This window comes from Homo sapiens, chromosome 3 (assembly GCF_000001405.40).
Source record: "Homo sapiens chromosome 3, GRCh38.p14 Primary Assembly".
Taxonomy (NCBI): Eukaryota; Metazoa; Chordata; class Mammalia; order Primates; family Hominidae; genus Homo; species Homo sapiens.
Genome location: NC_000003.12, coordinates 77077157 through 77100619, shown reverse-complemented (window position 1 = coordinate 77100619; position 23463 = coordinate 77077157). Strand labels below are relative to the sequence as shown.

The window sequence follows — 23463 nt, the reverse complement described above, 5'->3', positions numbered from 1 at the left end:
TAATAAACTAAGTGAATGCACCACAATGAGTATTTATGTTGAGTTTTCTAAAATATGAAGGCCAATTTAACATAATCTGAAGTTGTTCCTCTACAGCTGTTCCTCTGTCATTTTATGAAAATACATATTAGTTACCAATAGGTAGTGAAAAATCACAATGCTTTAACCCAAATTTCCATATTAATATGTTTTATGAAACACATAAGGAAAGATAGAAGACTGATGAGCGAATGGAAAGAGATGAGCAACATATAAATGAATATTATTTGACCTTGTGATGCCTCAAATGGAATGAACTGTTGACATGGCATTAGAAAAAGGGATTTTATTCACTCCCTAATCCAATTTGCAAGCCTTCTTGTTTTCCTCTCTAGGTCATGAGTAATTCAAGTATTTCTTAAAGCTCATTTACTTCAAAATAAAAAAAATTACTGTCACATTACACACACACACAAAAATCATGGTTTAAAATATTCCCACCAGAACAGTTTGATTCATTATTAATGACGCAATTAGAAAAGAAAGCAATTCTTTTAGATGAAACAACAAAATGACAGGTCAATTTTTATATACTTTAATTTTGAAAAGTAAAATTTTGTTAAGGATTTAAACACCTTATTTGCTGCTGAGTAGATAGAATTTTAAAAATGAAAAATTAAAATTTCTTAATTTTTATATATTTAAAATAGACCAGATTTCATTTAGAGTGTTTCTTCAAATATGACACAATTCCCTAAAAATAAAAATTAGAAGATTCAGGACCTGGTCTAGCATCCCCATTAATTTATTGTCTGAATCTTGGTCACCTAAACTTTTTGGGCATCATTTTCTTTATCTTGAAAATGGGAGAATAATGCCAGTCATATTCACCATAAAAGGGTCTGTTGGGGGAAAAAAATCAATAAAATTTGGTATTGAGGTATTTCAATATGTTTGAAAAGTTTCCAAAATTAGATATTTCAAAACAAAAATGGAACAGGTATGGATATTTGCATTCTTGAATTTTTGTGTGTGTATTTCAAATTGCATTTAATTTGAGGGCTTTTTGAAGTATCATTTTATAAAAATAAAACTATTTGGTGGCCAGTACAAAATCCCATTGTTAACTAAAGTCCTACTGCTCATAGCTCAAGGCACTTCACAAAAAATAAAAAATATGGGTCTTAGGATTCTCCTAGTCTTTTCCTATTGGAGTTATACATTTCCAGCATCCGGGGGTTCCAGGTTTCTTAGCACAAACTGTAAATCAGAAGCAGATGCCTGAGAACGAAAAACTTCATTGGGATAGCTACATAAGAAATTGTAGGCGAGTGGATCACCTGAGGTCATGAGCTCAAGACCAGCCTGGGCAACACGGTGAAACCCCGTCTCTACTAAAAATACAAAAATTAGCTGGGCCTGGTGTCTGTAATCCCAGCTACTTGGGAGGCTGAGACAGGAGAATCGCTTAAGCCCGTGAGGCAGAGGTTGCAGTGAGCAGAGATCGCGCCATTGCACTCCGGCCTATGTGACAGCGGGAGACACTGTCTCAAAAAAAAAAAAAAAAAAGAAAGAAAGAAAAGTACAATTTTGTTTACCAAAAGAAAGACACAGGCCCATGAGCTATTATTTAGGAGAAAATATATATAGCTATATACATAAGATTCCAGCATCCTGAAATCTCCCAATTCTCTTATCTTTGAAGACGTACATGACAACAAGGAAGCTGAAGAGTGCAAAAATTTTAAGGCATAATTGTTTGTTTGTTTGTTTGTTTGTTTTTTTGAGACGGAGTCTCGCTCTGTCGCCCAGGCTGGAGTGCAGTGGCGCGATCTCGGCTCACTGCAAGCTCCGCCTCCCGGGTTCACACCATTCTCCTGCCTCAGCCTCCCGAGTAGCTGGGACTACAGGCGCCGCCACCATGCCCGGATAATTTTTTTTTTCTTTTTGTATTTTTTGTAGAGACGGGGTTTCACCGTGTTACCCAGGATGGTCTCGATCTCCTGACCTCGTGATCCGCCCGCCTCCGCCTCCCAAAGTGCTGGGATTACAGGCGTGAGCCACCGCGCCCGGCCTGCTTTCTTATAATAACATATTGGTCATCTTGATTTCATATAAACAAACTTACTACAACACCCTGGCTTGATACTATCTTGACCAGACTTCTCTGAAGAAGACCAAGTAAAATTATGCAGTGTGTTGATTGATTCTTTAGGTTTCAGCGTCTATGGGAACACATCAAAACTTACTTGAAATAAATAAAAGTAAATGTGCACATGAGGTTCATTATGTTCACTTACATGCCACTTCCAGAGACGCATTTCGACTCACTGCTTCACCAAGATAGTTCCTCGCAACACAAACGTAGCTTCCTTCATCAGGTTTACTCCTGCGCCCGTGCACGATGCGCAAGAAGAATAAGGATCCGCTGGGCAGAAGCATCCTGTGGGACCGGGGATCGTCCTTGTCAGTCTCCACTCGCTCCCCATCTTTGTACCACTCAATGGTGGGCGTTGGCCGGCCCTCCGCCTTGCAGTTCAGAGTCGTGGGCTCGCCCTTAGAGACGATGACATCGGAAGGATGCTCCACAATCCGCGGGGGAAAGTCCTCCTGGCGAAGACGCGATCCTACAAAACATGACGGAATAAAGACAAGCTTTAACATTTCCTTATCTAAACCCTCGGTTTCACTTGGGTTCCTGATGGGGAAATTAAACTCTTCGATTATCCAACTGAACATTATTTTATGTTTCGTTTTGTGTATGCATCTCATAAGTCATCTCAACTCCTTTGCAGGATAGGGCGATACCAATAAATTAATATGTTAACTCAAAGGAGTTAGGTTTAATGTGTTCCATGAATCATGACAAGCAAAAGTAAAAGAGAACAAGAGACTTTCTTGTTCTTCTGGGATCAGCATGGGTACTAAGATGAGTAAGACTAATTTCCTGTCCTCAGATTGCTTATTATACACTGGGGAAGAAAGCCACGTCAGCAAGCAGCTAGAAGACACACATAGATAGCATTTAATGTGCTGCCAATATGTTATCAGACTAACACAAAAAGAGACCTGTAAATTATGTACAAATATTATCTGCATTTAACAGATGAGGCAAAAGCTTAGGAAATGATGTCAGTTGCCCAGAAATGTAGATGAGGCAAGCAGCAGAGGCAGGATTTTGAACTCAGGTGTGTTTGACTGAAGAGCTCAAGTATAAATCCGTATGTTAAAATGCAATACGCTGCATAGAGGTATATAAGAAATGCACTATAGGCAGAAAGAAAAAAAGTAAAAGTTAACCCTAAATTAAGCATAATAAGAGATCCCTTCCCCGAAAAAAATTACATTTAGATTGAGCCGTAAAGAATGAAAAATGACAACTAAAAGAAAAAAGCATCATGCCAAGAGATACCATCAGCAAAAGGACAAGGAAATGACAGTTACGTGCATGGTACATTTCATAATCAGGAAGGAAGCTGATACAGCAAGAAAAGGTTTAAGACAGTCTTGGAGCCTGAGACAAGGCTTTGTGCCATGCTCAGGGGTATGACTATTCTTTTACACGGCTCACAGATTTTTAAGGGGGCAGTGACATGACTGTCTGTACAATCGAAAGATACTTGTAGTCTGTATTATCAATAAGGGATAGCAACGGAGACACGAAGACAGTTGTGATTTACTTAAATAGTTCAAGAGAAAAATAAAAAGAACCTGACTTTGGGAAATGATGGTTTAGGTAGAAAAGAAGAAGGAAAAATATACCATATCAAAATGCTTGACAGAATTTGGTATATCACCATGCACAGTACAAAGAAAGATAGATCGTACCAGTGACTTCCCTGTGAATGCAATAAAAGTGGGGCCATAAGGGGCGTAAGAAATCGAAAGAGAGGCCGGGCACGGTGGCTCACACCTGTAATCCCAGTATTTTGGGAGGCCGAGGTGGGTGGATCACCTGAGGTCAGGAGTTCGAGACCAGCCTGCCCAACATGGTGAAACCTCATATCTACTAAAAATGTAAAAACTTTGCCAGGCAGGGTGGTGGACACCTATAATCCCAGCTACTCGGGAGGCTGAGGCAGGAGAATCGTTTGAACTCAGGAAGCAGAGGTTGCAGTGAGCCAAGATTGTGCCACTGCACTCCAGCCCGAGTGACAAGAGTAAAACTCCATCTCAAAAAAAAAAAAAGAAAAAGAAAAGAAAAGAAATAGGAAGAGAAGGCTCTGTTGATATTTCACAATCAAATTTTTGCATAATGTGTTATTTTGAATATTTTTCATTTATATGGTATCAATTACCATTATTCATGAAAATGTTCTACCAGCTGCTCCAAGTAAATAAAAAGGAGATGCTGAGAGGAATCACCATATATGGGGACATAATGATTATATAGATAAGCACTTCTTAAAAGTTTGCTCTTATATAAGATTTTCCAACCAATCACCTAATATGAGCACATTTCTCTTCAACAGATAGCAGTAATATTTACTTGTCAATGTTACCTCAGTTCACTCTCAGTATTAATTGAAAATACATGTTTTAATGTATTAAAGGGAATTTAATTTAGTCTTAAATGAACTTTATTTTTTTGAAGAGGAATAACTCTTAAAAGTTGCTATTTTTTTAATCACATCAGACCAAAAAAGAATGTATACATTACAAGTGTTAGATATCTAAAGCAAAAGAGTAATTTACTGTTCACAGGTCAGAACTTTAAAAAAAAAACTAAAGAGATCCAAAGCATCTAGATAGGTAATTACAGTATACATCACAATAATAAAGGATATAGATCATGAGTACTGGGTCTTAAAGCAATGAGGAATTTACAGAATACAAAAGTAACAATGAATTTTTAAATTCATAATCAAGAAAGACCCCAAAGTATTTAAACATGAGTGGCTGAATAGAAGTAGGTTGCAAATCAGAAACATATTCTCAATGTAAAGGTCTGGACACATAGCTGTAGACTCTGATCTTAAAATACATCAAGAGTTTTATGTCACTTTTCATGTAACAGGCATATAGTAGGTTACAATCATCTGTTTAGATAGCCCCTTTGTTCTCCATGAATCTCCCTATGCACAGTAACCTACATTCTCCCTACTGCAAAACTGTTCTACTATTAAAAGTAAGCAAGTAAATAGCTACTAGGGTGCTATTTACTATATCAACTTGTGCACTAACTTATTAGGCAGTAGGCCTGGATAAGGGCTGAATAAGACCTGAAATATGCTAATACTTACTAAATAAAATATAAAATAATTGATTTATAAAAGAAAAAGTGAAAAAATAGCTAAGCTATTTAGCAATAAAATTAAACTCCAGTATGTCCAATGAGCACACGAAGAATTTTACTCATTTATCATTACAATATATGTAAACTATGTTACATAAAGATTATAGTACTGTCATATCAGGACACTCTTCTTGTAATTTTACTCCTACTTTAATAAAAACATCAAAGAACATCTACAACCTAAATATAAAAAGTAAAACTATGAAATGATTACAAGAAATTATAGAGGCAAGTTTTTTATGATTTTGAATTAGGTGATGGCTTCTTGGATATGATACCAAAAGCATAAGCAACAAAAGAAAAAAAGAGATAAACTGGATGTTATAAAATTTTTAAATACTTGTGCTTGAAAGAATACTACCCACAGAATCAGAAAAATAATCTGCAAATCATATACCCAATAATGGATTTGTATCTAGAATATATAAAGAACTCATAACTCAATAAAAATATAAATAATCAAATTTTAAAATAGGCAAAGGATTAGAATAAGTAGTTAAACAAATTTGACAGAGAAGTTAGACAAATAGCCATAACCACATAAAGAGATACTCAACATCATTAGCTATTAGAAAAATGCAAATCGAAACTACAATGAAATACACTTCACACCCACTAGGACATATATAATCAAAGCAATGTAAAATAACAAGTATTGTCAAGGGTTTGGAAAAACTGAAAGCCTCATCCATTGCTAGTGTGAATTTAAATCATACAGTCACTTTGGAAAACAATCTGGAAGTTCCTCAAAATGTCAAACATGTAGTTGCCATACGACCCAGCAATTTCACTCCTAGATATATATCACCCCAGAATGAAACCATACATCCACACAAAACTTACTCATGAATATTCATAGCAGTATTATTCACAATAGTCAAAAAAGTAGAAACAACCCAAATGTCTACCAACTGAATGGATAACAAAGAAAGAATCAACAGCATAAATATCCATGATGAATGGATAAATAAAATGTGCCATATCCATATAATGGAATATTATTCAGCCTTAAAAATGAAGTATTAATAATACATGCTACAACATAGATGAACTTTGAAAATATAAGTGAAAGGAGCTAGTTGCAATGGACCATATATTGTACGATTCCATTTATATGACATGTCCAGAGAAGGAAAATCCACGGACATAGAATGTAGATCAATGCTGGCCTAGGGCTGGGGTATGGAAGTGGGGAATGAAGGGGGTCTGGGCAAGTGCTGCCAATGGGGATGGGATTTCTTTAGGGATGATGAAAATATTCTAAAATTAATTACAGTGATGGTTGCATTACTCTGTGAATGTAATAAAGATTATTATATTTTATACTTTGGGTAAATTTTGTGGAATATGAATTATATCTCCAGCAATTTTTAAAAATTTGATAGATAAAAGAGCACTGTGAACAAGTTTAATAAAAGGTGTGTAACAATTTGTGCTCACTCCTAACAACAGTTAACACTGTTTTCTTCATTTATAATCTTAGGTTCTAATGAAATCATCAGGCCTGCAATAGATAATTAGGACATAAAGTGAACTTTAAAGGTCTCACCACCCAGATAGATAGATTAGAGAGAGAGAGAGAAAGATAGATTAGAAAGATAGACATAGATATACAAAAATACAGCTTTACAATCTAAGTTTTACAATGTTATTAAAAATATGGGGATTAATTCTGAGCTTTCTTAAATTCAGACATTACATAACAATAGCAGTGGTCTTTACGATGGACCCAATGCATAAGTCTTTGGAATCTTTAAAACTGTGTGTGGAAATGAGTATTATTGTTAAGGGGGAGGCAGTAGTGGTGGTGTGGGGTTGGGGGTGTAGCTTTCATCATATTCCCAAAGATGTTGGGCCTTTAAGATTATCAAGGAGCACTAAACTACTGGGTATTCTATGTTATTGGCTAAAACAACTCCATTATTTGGTCAAAAAATAAAGCTGAGTTGTCAGCAAAACTCACTGGGGACTGAGAACAAAACAGTAAGGGGGAGTGGGGGTTGTTCATCACAGGAAGTGCCATGAAACAGCTCAACCTCAACATTTTGGACATCTAAAGTGTGAGCCCCTCAACTAGCAACAAAAGCATGATCCAAAGGTGTATTAGAAATAGAGGATCTTAGGCCCATACCAGCATATCTGAAATCTGAATCTGCGTTTTAACAAGATTCCCCTCTCTTCATCAGGTATTTGTATGCACAATACCGTTTGATAAGCACTGCTCACATCAGTTTTTGTATGGCTCTGAGCTAACAATGTTTTTAAAAGAAGAGGAGGGGGAGAGGGAAGAGAAGGGGGATGAGGAGGAGGAAGTGGTAACAAAGAAAACTTACATAGCCTGTGAAGCTTGAAATATTTACCAAGGTTTGCCCACCCTGCTCAAGAGTACCTGATATCATTTTCCATTACAAAGTTCATTTTTAATTTAAATTTATTTTATAAATAAATTTATAAATTTATAAATATCTCTTCTACAGATTTCAAATGAAAATTAGTTTGACAGCAATGTTATTATTGCCCATATAATGAGAAATTATTCAAAGATTCCTATTAGAACAGATATACTAAGCGATGTATGAAAATAACTATCTACAATTCTAATTTCGCTTGTGACTGATATCATGTCTGGTATCTTTTTATATCTCAATTATTAATTGGGCAATCAGTCAAGTTTTAATTAAAATAATATATATTGTTAAAATATATACAAATTTATATATTATATATAATAATATATATTAAAATATATATTATTTAATTAAAATAATATATATTAATAATATATAAACTATATATATTCTTTCTCTCTTTTATAATAAAAGAGAGATAACAAAAATTGTTCAGAGGATCCTAAAGATGAACATCCAAATGTTTATTTTTACTGTCCAAGAAAGTAAGTTGTGAAATTGTCACATAAATTGTCCATAATTGAATAGATAGGAGAAGCAGAATTAGAACTCATGACCTTTAATCCAAAATGTGCCAGGCTTCTTTAGAAATGAATGGAGCACCAAGTAAAGAATGCACATGGCATCTAGGCTAATTCCAAAGACCTCTTCTAAGGTTCATTTCAATAAAATGTATCACATGAATGTCGCTAGTCATAATTTCAGCAGAAAACATTTTCCTCGTTTTTCAAAGCCTGATTCTCAGACTGCCTGCATCAGAATCATCTGGGATTTTTTTTTTCTAATTCTTCATGAATTTGCCTGTCATCCTGGCCCAGGGACCATGCTAATCTTCTCTGTATTGCTTCAATTTTGGTATATGTGCTGCCGAAGTGAACACTAAGATATTTCTTTAAAATACAGATTCTTTTTATTTATTTATTTATTTATTTATTTATTTATTTATTTATTTATTTTGAGTCAGAGACTCACTCTGTCACTCAAGCTGGAGGGCAGTGGTATGATCTTGGCTCACTGCAACCTCCGTCTCCCAGGTTGAAGCGATTCTCGTGCCTCAGACTCCTGGGTAGCTGGGACTACAGGCACGCACCACCACACCTGGCTAATTTTTTGTATTATTAGTAGAGACGGATTTTCGTCATATTGGCCAGGATGGTCTCGAACCCCTGGCCTCAAGCGAGCCTCCTGCTTCGGCCTCCAGAAGTGCTGGGATTACAGGCATGAGCCACCTTACCTGGCCACCAGATTCTTAGTCTCCATAGTGAACAAGGTGCATCAGAAATTACCAGCGAAAGGTTCCAAGAAGCTGCATTTTTTCCATGCTTACCAGAAGATCACACACTTAGACCTGGCTAGATGTAGCATTCCACAGCATCATCAAGTTCGTCAGCCAGATGCAGACGCATCTGTGAATAATGTTCTAAGCACCTTAATTTGCATAATGGATTATTTCTGCTTCTCAGAGACTCTCAAACAATGATTTTGTAATGATTTTTGATAAAATATTTGATATTTTACAACGTTGAGTGGTATATTAGCACTTCAAATTTTTGAAGGTGATGTATAAATTATAATTCATGAATATGGTTAAGTTTAGTTTTCTTTAGTCAGTAACCACTCATTCGCAGTGAGTGCCAGAGAACATTTGTTTTCAGGAAGAGATTTCAATCACGTAGTATAATAAAGGAGGAAAATGCACCTAGAATACTTGTTGATTTCATTTCATGTGTTACAGAGTAAATGTCTCTGCCTCATTGAGTTGGAGTATAGTATTTCCTTGAACCAAGTTTTATTTTTCTTTTACAAACTGGATAGCCCTATCAGCTATTAGTCCCTCCACAAGCCAAGCAATGTATTTCAAGCTGTTCTAAATTTTTCTGAGGGCCGAAGAAATTCTCGGCAAATTAGGGACAGAGTGTGAAATATACTTCCTCCAGCAAAATTTCTATGCTGTGTTCATTTTTCTCTCTTAAAAATGTATGTAACAGTATGTTCTAGCCATAACTATGTCTGTTTTAACAAAATATTGTTCCCCAAAACGATATAAATAGAATTAACCCAGGAAGATTCTCCAGGATTACTTCAATTCTGAATGTGATCAGAGCCACCTGCTGATATGACAGATACAGTAGCACTACACGAAAAGGTGAAGGTTGCCTGACACATCGCAATAGGAAGGAGGCAGTGTGGTACAAATAAAGAACACAGGTTATTGATCAGTTAACGTTCATGCCTCATTTGTAACAGGTAGATCAGGACATCAATGCTATAAAGAGTGGTTTAGGCCGGGCGCTGTGACTCACACCTGTAATCCCAACACTTTGGGAGGCCGAGGCGGGCAGATCACGAGGTCAGGAGATCGAGACCATCCTGGCTAACACGGTGAAACCTTGTCTCTACTAAAAATACAAAAAAAGTTAGCCGGGCGTGGTGGTGGCGCCTGTCGTCCCAGCTACTCGGGAGACTGAGGCAGGAGAATGGCGTGAACCCGGGAGACGGAGCTTGCAATGAGCCGAGATCGCGCCACTGCACTCCAGCCTGGGCCACAGAGCGAAACTCCGTCTCAAAAAAAAAAAAAAAAAAAAAAAAAAAAAAAAAAAAAAAAAAAAAAAAGAGTGGTTTAGAAGATTAAAAGAAATCATATATATGGATCACCAGGATGGGCAGTAAGCGTTCAGTGTAGTATTTTTTTCTCCTTCTGCAAAACATGACAAATACTCCAACTCTAAACTTTATTTCCAAAATTTAGCCCATAAAACTCTATAATCCCATTGACAATAGTCAATAGTTTATCTTTGCTGAGGATGATTCTGACATTAATGTTTTATTGCTTGATACATTTTAGCTGGACCAGGCTGATAGCTTTACACTAGATTTCCAAAGAATTAGTTGTTACTATTTATCGTTAGTCAAAAATATATCCAATTCAAAATTTCCTTCACTGAAGGAAACATATCTCAGTGCCACTGCAAATGCTGTCTACATTGATTAGTGAGCTAAGGTAATTTGCAATTTAATGGAATTAATGAATCATGCCATCAATCCATCAAGTCTGTCCATAACAACTTTTCCATCTTTGAATTCTTCATGATGATTAAATTCCAGCTTACTTTGCTTATGAGGGAGGAGGGAATAGAAAAGTATTATGAGATAACTTTTTTTTTCTAGAGGTCCAGTGATGTGGTAGGATATGCTGAGAAGATCAATATTTGGAAAACACGAAGTCCATTTTATCCATTTGAAATTTGCTAAAACTCTCTCAGGAGACTTCCTAATTTGCCATTGGCCTAAATAAATTTATAAGATTATTATTCCTTCTGGAAGCACAGCAGTGCCATCTTAATAAGTCTAAATTTGAAACAAAATCAAAATTGAGACCTAGAAACTCTACTTATTTCTTAGAAAAATTTCAAAATAACTTTTCAGTGTCCTAAAACTAAAGGGCTTATAGTGTGAAAGGGAACTGATAAGGATAAAAGAGGTTTGTCAAACTCAACAGGCAGCCTTGATTCTGAAAGTTTCCAGTTGTACAAAATAGCACCCTGCAACATCTCTGTGACCTTGCTTTCCAGATGCAGAAAACAGAAGATTAAGCTATCAGAGGTCCTTTTACAAACCCTTATTTTATAGATGAGGAGGAAAAATAGAGTACTAAAGAACTGAAGTTTCTTTCTCACAACCAAAACTAGAAGGATATACTTGTCTTAGCTGTGGGTCCAAGCTCTGTTTTCAGGATGACTTTTTCTTCTTACCCACATTTTAGAAGTCTAAAATATTATTAGAAAATCCCAAGCACTAGATTTCAGTTGTTTTTTGTTTGGCTTTTTATCTGGACCAATATATGGTTAGTTATATCACCTTAAGCAATTACCTAAACTGGTTTTTTGTACTATTTATTCATCCCAAACTTGAGGTAAGTGGAAGAGTAAATTGCTACAGTCTCATTGTTCTGTAGCATGATCATACTCTTTATGGCTGTCACATTAATGATATCTTAACAGACATATCTAAAAGAAAGCATAATGAGTAGCAATTTAAATTTATGAACACAGGGTACATACTTTAAAAAATACACACTTTAGATTACTGTTCATACTTTTGATAAATGTATAGATTACAAAAGTTGGCCTTTGTAGGTCTTGTATCTGCTGTCAAAAGCAATGGATATCACATGAATTCTTAGAAAACCCTCCAAAAGTTAACAATGATTTAAAAGACTGAAAACGTACCTTAGAAATTTATTCCTAAATTTCTATAAAATTTATCCATATTGTCAGTAAATGCATTGCTCTACAAATCATTTTAACCAAAGACTAACTGGCTATATTGGATAGGTATCTTAAAAATAAATATGTCCACACACTGGGGTCTCTCAGGGGCAGCGTGGGGAGTGATAGCATCAGAATAAATAGCTAATGCTTACGGGGTTAATACCTAAGTGATGGATTGACAGGTGCAGCAAATCATCATGGCACACATTTACCTACGTAACAAACCTGTACATCCTGCATATGTATCCCAGAACTTAAAATAAAATAAAATGTAACAAATAAATAGATATGTAATTAATTATGTAAAATAAAACCTTCAGCATTCAGCAAAGATCTTTAAAATTTCCTTCCTTAATTAGGGTGAATGAGTTGATCTTTCAGGTGAAGGTAAGTAATAAAGATTCATAAAACTTTCAACCTGAATTTCACAATTGTATCTCAGGTCTTTACTTATCTACCATTAACAGAAATTGCTAAAAATATGAAAATTAGAACACTTTTTCCCCTGTTTTTTCCTCCACTACCGCATGTTATTCAGTGCCTTTATCAGCTAAGTCTTAATCACATTTTTAAAATGCTATTCAATTTCCTGGCTGCCCACATCAAAATTGAGCCACTGACTGTCTGAGCAAGTGGGCCCCAGTGACAGGTAGAGCCTCAGCACCCGTAGGGAGTGCAGGCTTGGTTTGTGTAAGTTAGAGTCAGAAGCTGAAGGCAATCGAACCACAGGTGGACAACTAAGAATATATATATGAATATACAATAGAAATATATATATTCTTATGTATGTGTGTGTGTCTTTATATATGTGTGCATCTATATATATGTGTGTGTGTATATATATACAACATTCCTATGACTCCATGATGAATACATACATATATGTATATATACATGTATACACACATATGTATATGTACACACACATATATGTATATATGTGTACATGTATATATGTGTGTATATCTGTATATACACACACATGTATATATAATATTGAAGATAAATTTTGAAACTCCTAATCTGAAGGTTTCTAGAAAACTGTTAGGGGGGATTTTCCTCTTAATAACAAATTACTCTTCTACTTTATAAATTCATTTCCAACAATTCAGTGAGGAGCCAATGTATTAACCTGGATATTCATCCAATACTATTTCAAATCAATTTGCTACATCTTACATGGTTGAAGGTATTCTTTAAAGTGTGATTTACTGCCCAATCAGAGGTTTTCATGGCTTATGCAGATTTACCTTTCAATGACAAAAACAATCCCTATTCCAGGAAGACAGCTTTAAAATCTGGCTTGTTATTATCATATTTATAATATTTTCATGTGGTTTGAAATTGCATTTGGCTTTACAAAAGGTGATGCAATGAAACAATCTCAAAAATCATTAAATTGTCTAATAATGTTTAATTTTCTAAAAACCATTGACATTTATTTAATGAAGACTATGAGTGTGTCTCCAGAAAAGGGGATTTTACTTAAATAAACTCTGAATGGAGTGATATCATTTTGACTTTCTATTATATTTCCTTCTGTTTCTATATTCTGAAAATTCTGTAGCAGTAGCATTAATCTTAGTAACTGAAGATGCCAAAAGACCCAGTGTCAATGTCTAAAAAACACCATTCCCACCAGCAATGATATTTTATGCATGTGTGTGCTAAGCTTTGTTAAATACTTAGTTAATACATTTGTCAGAAACTCTTGATAAATTTTCCTGTACCCCAAAATATTTCATAATAAAGTTAAATTGAGATTCAATGATCCTACCTGAAATTTCAGACAAACTTATTTTGGTATATAAGTATAGAAAGGATTTTTAAAAGACAGATGGAAAATAAGATTACAATCCAATAGTTTCTTAAAGGAATAATGGCTAAATCACGACCAGAAAAATTATAGCCTTCATGAGCCAAACGCGTTAGTTGCATCATGTCCAAGGGATGCACACAATGACTGATTTTAGCCTTGTTCATTTCTAATCAACATTCATTTACTACAGAATTTGGCCTAAGGTGCAAATATCATTGCATTACTCCATTATTTGTAAAAATGTGATTCATAAATCATGGATTGGTTTATGTGGAATGGAGGTAAGGGATGGTACTGCAGGCACCGGATGCAAAATTTTGTGCAGATATGTGCATGTTCGTTTTTAAGAAATGATAAAGTATATTTTTGGTAGTTAATAGAAATCATCTGTCAGTAGGACTGACTTGAAATTTCTTTTTCAAATGCCGAAAAGAAGTGTGAACTCAGGCAAATTTCTTACCTTCTCTGCATCTTGCTTCCCTATGTATAAAACATAGCAGTATCAGTCGAATAACATTGCTGAGAAGATTGAATGAGATTTTTCCATGTGCTGAGTACACAGCAAGCACTCAATAAATGTTCCCTACTAGTATAAGCATTATTATAATGTATAACTCTTTTATTAGTATAACCTCTGTCTCTAAACTCAAAGGAGTCTGTAACCCCCCTAAAAACAATGAACCACGATCTATAAGATAACGGCCTTTTTAAAGCAAATGTTGATGCCTAATAACTCTGTGTCCCTCTAAACTATTTTACTGAAATATATACCAACGCTGTTTATTTTTCATTATAAAAATCTTGGAATGACTCCATGATTAATGCATAGGAAGCATCTATTTATTTTTTTGGTTGCTTTTCCATTATAAGTTTAGAGATAACTAAGGGATATTAAATAAACTTTATTGAGGGCACAATAACATGACTTATGAGATGACAGGAATGGGAATATTATCTGAAATGCACTTTTACCAGTAGTTTCAAGAGATGGTCAAAACAAAATCATTCTCATCCTTTTAAAGCAATAACTTTTCCTAGAAATTTCTAAATGACACCTTTATGAAATTGTGTATCTTTAAATAAAAGGCCCAAGTCAAAAATGAGTATACTGATCCCAAAGATGAAAAGAAAGATTTCCTCTTGGATGGTGGAAATGGCCATAATCGAGTTGGCTTATTTAATATTGTACAATGGCTTTTGGAGATCTTTCCTGAAGTTTGTATCTTGGAAACAAAGGAGGCTTATAAAGGTATCCAAATACAACTCGGGCTTATGGCTTTGTCTTTGTACCATACTGACAATGAATGGATTTTCACAGTTGGCCAAACTGAACAGAAGTGACAGCATCATATTTCTTCAGGGGTATTTGGAGGATATACACCTAAATTGTTAAGTGTTTACTCCACCAAAAACACCTTAGATAAGATTTGTGACATAAAATAGCTTGAAAAAGAGGCTATGTTTTATCAGTTGCAAATAGCTCTAAAATTTGGAATAAGCTCTGTTTACAAAATTATAGAATCTTATAGAAAATTTTGGAGTTGTATTTTGCCTTCACTTTATGCAATGCATTAAAATAATAAATAAGTATAAATTTACGTCTTTAATAAAAACATTTTCTCCAGTTTTATTTGGCCAATCATAACAGTTTTGATGTGACAACTGTAGTAAGGCTATGCAAAGTGGTTACATTTAGATTGCAAACTTGAGTTATTTTAGTAGATAAAGAATATAAGTTACTTTAATGATCAGGATACTTTTCATTTGGGGATCTACTTTCTCTTCATTTGTGTCTATTTATGATATCTATTGATGGCTTTTTAGTGACCCATTTAATAAAACTTTAAATTTCCTTTCAGGAGATGTCTTCTGTTTCAGAGCAAAATGACCAGCAGATAACATCACTGCTGCAACACAAATACTGAGTGTAGTTTTCAGTTAAAAGATTCTGTGTGCACAGAGAAAAAAGAGCTTATTTTTCTGCTGAATGGAGAAGAGCAGCAAATGTGAGTGCAATAAACGTTTTCAAATGATCTTTTTCTGCTTGAATTATGTTTCACTAAAATATATGAGTCTCAATTCCTTGAGTCTGTCAAAAAACATCTGCAGCTTAGAGAAAAGTTATGGAATAATGTTGTTTTCCACTCAGCCCATTTACTTTGAAGCCTTATCAGAGGAGGGATCAAATGAAACTGATCATCCCCAGGTTTCCCCAGGTTATTACCATGTGGACATGGAATTAACCTCCTTCCAGCCACTCTCGAAATGCAATGCTTTCTTGTCACAAAGCACAAGAGTGGAACACAGAATTATTCTGGATTATGCTAAAAGGAAAGAAAAATGCTGGCAGGCAGAGGTATAAAAATGTAAAGTGATAAGTTTTGTGAAACACAGAATAATGATAGCTTCGAACAGGGTGGTATTTCTAAAATGTAGGAAGTTGCCTTTACCATAAAATATTCAATATATCAAACTCTGATAAGTTGGATCTTATAAACAACCAGCAACTGAAAATCTGGAAGAAAATGAAAAGTATACAAATGTTAAGAGTTTAATGATGTTTGCCTAATATTCCACGTAATTTTCCCCACTTTCAAATGAGGCAATAATAACTGAATTTTAGTGTTTTAGTGATGCGCTCACTGCTGTTGAAATTTTTTTTAAAAGAACATTATTACTGGTTACTTTTGTTACGAATTTCCATTATAAATAACAGAAAAAAATATTTGAGTTTTATGTAAACTAGTGAACTAGAAGTGTGAATTGTCTAATAATTTCTGACCCAATAGTTAACAGCTCCCAAGGTATGTATGCCTTAGATGTCTACTCTTCCCTTCAATGAAGATAATTCACTCATTCCACAGAGAACTCATTCCCTCTCATGGTGTTCAGGTATTATCTCTATGACAACAACAGCCAAATGTGGGTTTAGTATCTCCAGCTAAGGAAAGTTCTAGGCTTTGTTCGGGTGACCACCTGAATGCTCAGTCATCAACTCAAGGTTCATCTATCTAAGAATGAAACCCTCACCTCTCTCCTCGTCCCATATTTCATCATCTCTCCTTCCTGACATCAACTCCATCTTTCTCCAGGTCCCTAATGCTCAGAATCCCGGTTGTGGGGTTTAACTCTTCCATTTCTATCATAACCGCTTAGGCATACATTTCTGTGGATTCTTCCTTCTTTCTCCAGGTTTGTGTCTGGAACTGACTGCCTCTCATTTCCACAGTCACCATCTGTGTCTCTCGACATAATTTCACACTATCATTATCCTAAATGCCTCATCGTTTCTCTCTTCCAGGTATGTTCTTTCCCTTTCCTCATCACTCCATTCCTAGAAAAAATGCAAACGGATTTTGGAACAGTTAGTGATTGCTTTTCTTTAAACAAACACAAAGTAGGTTGCCCAGGCAAATCTCAAACTTTTATGGGGTTTTCTAAATTTTTATACTCCCTTGGCCAGAATAAATCTACTTATTCATCAAATTGACTTACAAATTGGGACTTTCCTAAGTTCATCTTACGCATCCAGAATCATACAAGTTGCCTCATGAGTGTTACGATGAAGTACAAAACTCTGAACCTCCACGCTGGGGCTCAGCGTTTATTTGGACAGAATTTACTCAGGCTGCCATGAGGTCTTTGTGACACTGATTTATGGTCAAAGGTGCCAGAACATCACTTACTATATTAGAACTTGGCTGTGTTTCTCATTTTTTTAGTTCACTGAAAATTTGAAAAAATACGCTGACTGCAGGGGGAGAAATGAGATGCAGAGTTCTCTATTTCATCGAGGTAGCTTGTGCCTGACATATGTATCTAAACTGCCCATATTGAAATCAGGTCCATGGGCCAACTGCCTCAGATATGAATCCCGAAATGATGATGGAGGCACTGATATAATCTGGCTGATTTTTTTTCCATTTGGTGTGAGTACATTTAAATACTGTATATATTTTTTAAAGAATCTCCTATTAAATAGGGGCCTCAATTTAATCTCTGGACATTCCTTGTGAGATTAGCCAAAAAAAAAAATGTTTTAAGTGTAGTAGCATAAATACACATTCACTCATCACAAGTACATTTGTACATACTAGAGTGTACATACAATACACTATTGTGTGTGTATATATATATATATAGAATGTTACTATGTAGCATTTGAATCAAATGTACCAAACACTGAAAGAAATTGTATATATGAGTGTAAATATATACATATATATATATATCTGTTAATTAATATATCTTTTGATATGTTTCACAGGAGAAATATATCAACAGTCTAAAGTTCATCAACAATCAGGAAATGGGGAGGTTGTATCCCTGTTATCATTAGTTTACAACCAACTAATTTCTTTAGTTATCCTCACAGGGGCTAAAAAAGATATGAAATACCCAATGATCAGTCACAGAAACACAGGCAGGGCTAAGAGCATAATCCATGACTTTGCCAGGCTCAGTGAGCACTACCTTGATGTACTGATGTTTCTTAATGAAGACAACCACCACCAATTAGACAACTGACAATTAGGCTGAAAACTGAAGTGTCAAAACAGGAACAAGGAGTGACCTCTGAATACTAAATTATTTTTAGATGGCACTTAATCACTATCACAATAGCAATAACAAATGTTAGCAATTTTTCTTTACTACAAGAAGTGATTCTGCTCTATGCTTTATACTTTGCAGGCTAATCTGTTAGTGTTTTTCCCTCTCCTTTTTAAATTTTGTTGGAATACAGCTTAAAACAGTCTCTTATTATGACCAAGTTATATCAATTAGTATACAATTAGAAATACCGGCTCTGCATTGTTTTTAAACATAGGGCCTATGCAGTTGGTGTGCATAGAATCTGGATTCTCACAGACCTCAGTTTCAGTCCTGGTTCCTGGAGGGCAGGGTATTTCTCCTTCTGAAGTGAAGGTATGGGGAATTTTAAAGTATTGGATTCTTTAGCCAATATTAAGAGTGATTACCAAAACCACCCAAGCATTGGAGTTTGGGGAGGATGCAGGAGAATTCCAGGTCAGCCTGAATAAGGAACAGCCATATGTATCTGTGTCTACATCTCCATTTATAGCTATATAGCACTTCTACATTAAGCACATTGCCTGAAGAGCTCATTGCTCATAGAATTTTCTTCAGTAAACTAAGAATGTTACAATACTTAACACACTTTTGCACAAGCCACTGCCTCCCTTCAACATAACAAAAATAGAAATTCTTCGTGCTCACACACTGGCAGGCAGCCCACACTTGCCTGTATCATGATTATTTCTGAATGACTTGGCACAACCTTTAATGATATGCTTCTTGCATCACAGGATTTGATGTTCCATTTTTGCCCAGCTCATCACGTTAGTCTCCAGAAGTTGTATTTGCCTGATGGTTATGAATACACAGGGGCATTTCTTCATGGCTATCCTTAGAGTGCACACTCTCAAGCTGCCTCAGAGGTGAGATCACCTTTGGATCTCCACTGGCTCAGTTCCTTTGGATGGCATCCAAGACAGAATTGCCTTCTGCTGAATTTCACTGCTGTGGCCAATGGCGTAATAATGAGACTCTTGTGTCAATGCCCCTTGGATTGTAAAGAATCAAATTCCCAATATAAGTACAAGCATTTACAGTGATGTGTTTATATTCATTTTATTTCATTTAACTTTTTTTCTATAACAATCAGAGGCAAACACTGGATATCAAAATACTTGATAGTGTCAGTAACCTGTAATTTTCCATAATCTAATAAACTAGCCCATAGATGTCAAACACACAACAAACATGCACGTGAGTATAAACACACAGAATCATGAGAACAAAATTTTTCTCATCTTTCCCCTCAAGGAGGAAAAATACCACTCAATATTAATGTCAAATACTTGAGCCATTAAACAAAACAGGCAACTCCGGCGAATACCTTATAAAAACCATAATGTAAAATATACATAATTATGTAATCCGATTAATATATCCACTCCTTTTTAGTGGAATAATGCTTAAGCAATAATGTAAGCTTCCAAATAACTATATATTTATGAAGAGAAACACACGAGCAAATGTTTTCAAGCTTTCTGCATTCATACCACAGGCAGTTGTATGCATCAGGAAAAGGACACAGGTCTACCCTTACCGTCAACTGTAGCTAGCTCAGCTGAAGAGAGCTTTCCAGTTCTTGGCAAAATAACAAATTCTCGAGCAGAGAGGGGATAGGGGTGAGATTTTTTTCTCCTGTAAGTAACTTAATGAATGAAGTACTAATTAACATTATGGCATTGATAAATGGAGAGGGAGATTAGGGATGTACTCGATATTCAGACCTTCGCAGATGGACTGTCAAAGCCACATCAATTCCTATCTCATTGGAGCATCTGCTTCTCCCATAATCTGCTGGCCCTTGGTACGAACAACACAAACTGTTGTGACTCAATTCGATTTATATCAATCTAATTTCTTTTAATCCAATTTGTATTCCAATCTACTACCTTCTAATCACTTAAATCTTCAGCCTCCATCTGGTAAATTTGCTCTCAAAATTAACCAAGCAGATGCCTCTGCGATTGTCTTCCACAGTCAAGCTAATCAGACCCTCACAGTGGCCTATAGAACCCGCTGAATAGGTACGTGACTTACGGTGTTGTCCTTCTAGTTACAGACACAGCGAGGTAGGAAGACCATTTTATCTACCATTAATTGGTTCATTTGCATAACACTGCTTGGGAAAAAGCACAGGACACAAAAGCCAAGAGAAGAAAAATACAGGAAGAAAGTAAAACGTGCTCATTTGTCAAGAGAGCTTTACAATTCAATCTATCTTTTGTTTCAGTTCACAAACACGGAGCGAGAATATTATTTAACACTGTATGGTGGAAAAAGCTACCCTCTGTCCTCTATGGAATTAAAAGAGTTTGCCTAATAACCACAAAGTCATATTGAGACACAACTTTGGTTCATCAATATGTTCTTAAAATCAGCTTCTGAATTTCAGAACTATGTGCTAATTTATTCACTTGAGCCTACGTGATATAAACAACACAGCCCCTGGCTAGCACTGACATTCACTTTCACAGAAGTTCCACTGTGATCCATAATTAAGGTCACAGATTCAACATTCCCCTATAAGCAAACTGGACGGCACTACCTGTGGAATGAACATCATTATGAGGACACAGTAATTAACAAAAATAAATTAATAAAGAAGGGACTAAGAACATATGAAGGCAAACACTATGGTAAACTACTTTCACATGAGACTTACGAGGTTGCTTTCATTAACTTACGGCCATACTTCTTACATAGTAGATCTTGATTATACTTAAAAGTTTTGTGGGGTTTTTCTCAAATTCGAAGTCACCATCAAATAGAAATATTCACTTATTCAATGTAGCCACATGATGAATTGGCCTCAGGAAGACCTTTGTTGTTAGGAAAAACCCGGAAGGCTAGCCAAGAAAATCATTAAATCTGGAACGTAGTCTATCTTGGAATGAAGGATACCTGTAACGTCAGTCTCATTAACATTATGAAACAGAAACATCAAAGTTCCTTCATAAAGTATAACACAAAGTATTAATAGTTGAATTAAATAATTAAATATAGCAGCTGGGTGCGGTGGCTCACGCGTGTAATCCCAGCACTTTGGGAGGCTGAGGTGGGTGGATCACCTGAGGTCAGGAGTTTGAGACCAGCCTGACCAACAAGGTGAAACTTCATCTCTACTAAAAATACAAAAACTAGCCAGGCATGGTGGTGTGCACCTGTAATCCCAGCTACTCAGGAGGCTGAGGCGGGAGAAGCCTTCAGGAGGCTCAGGGGGCAGAGGTTGCAGTGAGCCGAGATCGCACCACTGCACTCCAGCCTGGGTGACACAGCGAGACTCTGTCTCACAATCAATCAATCAATCAATAAAATAATTAAATATAGAACCTATTTCTACAATTCTGGCAAGAGTAAGATATGAAAGACAAGTGGCCAGGTCACTGAGTGTTCAAACTAACTAGAGAAACCCAGCTGCAGAAATCAAAGGGCTGTGGGAAACTGGTAGCACTGGTGAGTTGCGGGGTGTGGGAGGCCCTGATCCATTTCTATTTCAGCCCTAAGACAGCCAGTGACACACACCAGTCAATGAATAAAACAAAATACCTTTGGGCCCAACTCTGTTTTACATTTGCTACTAGAACACTTTGTCTCTCTGAGCCTCAGTTGTTTCATCTGTAAAGTGGATTGAAAATTCTATCTGCTGCCACATACTATGTTAAGGATGAAATGAGATCAGACATGCAAACCGCACTTTTTGAATGCCAAAGCACCATATCAATGTAAGACAGTATGGCAGGGCCACTGAAGAACATGAACTCTGGACTGAAATTTGAGAACCAGTCTCAGGGGTTGTGTAACTGTGGGCAAATTGCTAACTCCCGAACCTTGGTGTAAAATGGTGATGATAATATCTCCTACCCCCTGTTATGAGAAGAAAATGAATTCACATATGTAGCATACTTAGACAGGTGTTTGGGACAAAGTATCCCAGGAAAACATGTGTCAACTAAAACATATAAGCTAGGAGTGTTTTGTTTACATTGTAAGTTTTCAAATATGTTTTTAAACTGGACGTTTATAAACGGCTCAGTAGCTAAAAAGCAGTATTTTCTCAATGATATTTTCCTTTTCAATAGCAAAGGCAAAGTAAGTTGTAATAATATAATTATTTAAGGTGCTGCATTGAGGTGTATACATATGAGTGGAAATAAAATGTAGTCAATAAATTACTTTTAATTGGCTCTTGTGTGAAAACAGTGACCTCACTGATATCAATAATGTGATTAATTACTGAAACAAAGTTACTGTGTGTGTGTACTAGATGCCAGTGTGCTGGGGGGCAGACTTGAGTGCCAAGGAGGCTCACAAAAGGTGACTTTAAATTGTGAAAGTATTGGTTAAAAGCCCACTTTCACAATCCTGGCCTCAAGGAGAAAGCAGAGACAGAAACTGGCAGAGATTCTAGAATACCCAGGAATGATTCTCTATGCAGCTGAGCCACCAGTACACTCCAAGACTCCTATCTATTCCACACCTCTGTTACAGCAAAGAGCAGACCTTGATGGATAAGAACATACCTGTGTGTATATATGAATAGTCAAGAGGACTGCATGCTACTCTGAAAAACAAAACCCTTGAAAATCTGGACAAGACTACAAGACTGGAGAGTCCAGTTGACGACGGACCAAGGTCCCAGCTTCCATTTTACCACAGTCCCAGCTGATTTTTTCTCCTCTAACCTTTTATGCCTCAGTGCCAAGACGCACCCCAGCAATCACCCACTTTAACTGAAGCTAGAATTGACAAGGCTTGCCGGTCACTTGTATACAATAACTCAGAAGTCGTTTATCCATTATTGTCCTAGAATTCTGATTATTTATAAAGATCTTGTTTCTTCTGGAATATTTAACTTATTTCTGACGTCCAGCACAGTACCCTGGTATATGTATATGTTTAATTCACTTTCAATGATACTATAATAATATCCAATAATAACAACAGAAATTATTAATACGGCTATAATTCATTGAACTTTTAGACACCAGTGCTTTACCAAGATTATTTTATTTCATTCTCACCACAAGCTTTGTGTAATGATTTCTGTTTTACAGATGAGGAATCTGAGATTTTAAAAGCTTGTATAGATGCACA

General features: G+C 35.9%; 1 protein-coding gene and 1 pseudogene across 41 annotated transcripts in view; both read right to left on the bottom strand.

Annotated features, from left to right (window-relative positions):
* The window catches only part of ROBO2 (roundabout guidance receptor 2), a 1743290-nt gene that overhangs the window by 549345 nt on the left and 1170482 nt on the right, over positions 1-23463 (bottom strand). For all 41 annotated transcript variants that reach the window (NM_001378191.1, NM_001378195.1, NM_001378196.1 and 38 more), the window contains one exon: positions 2280-2606. In NM_001378191.1, coding sequence (NP_001365120.1) covers positions 2280-2606 — 327 coding nt within the window. The remainder of the gene's footprint in view (positions 1-2279; positions 2607-23463) is intronic.
* Positions 8457-8563, bottom strand: RNU6-386P (RNA, U6 small nuclear 386, pseudogene; annotated as a pseudogene).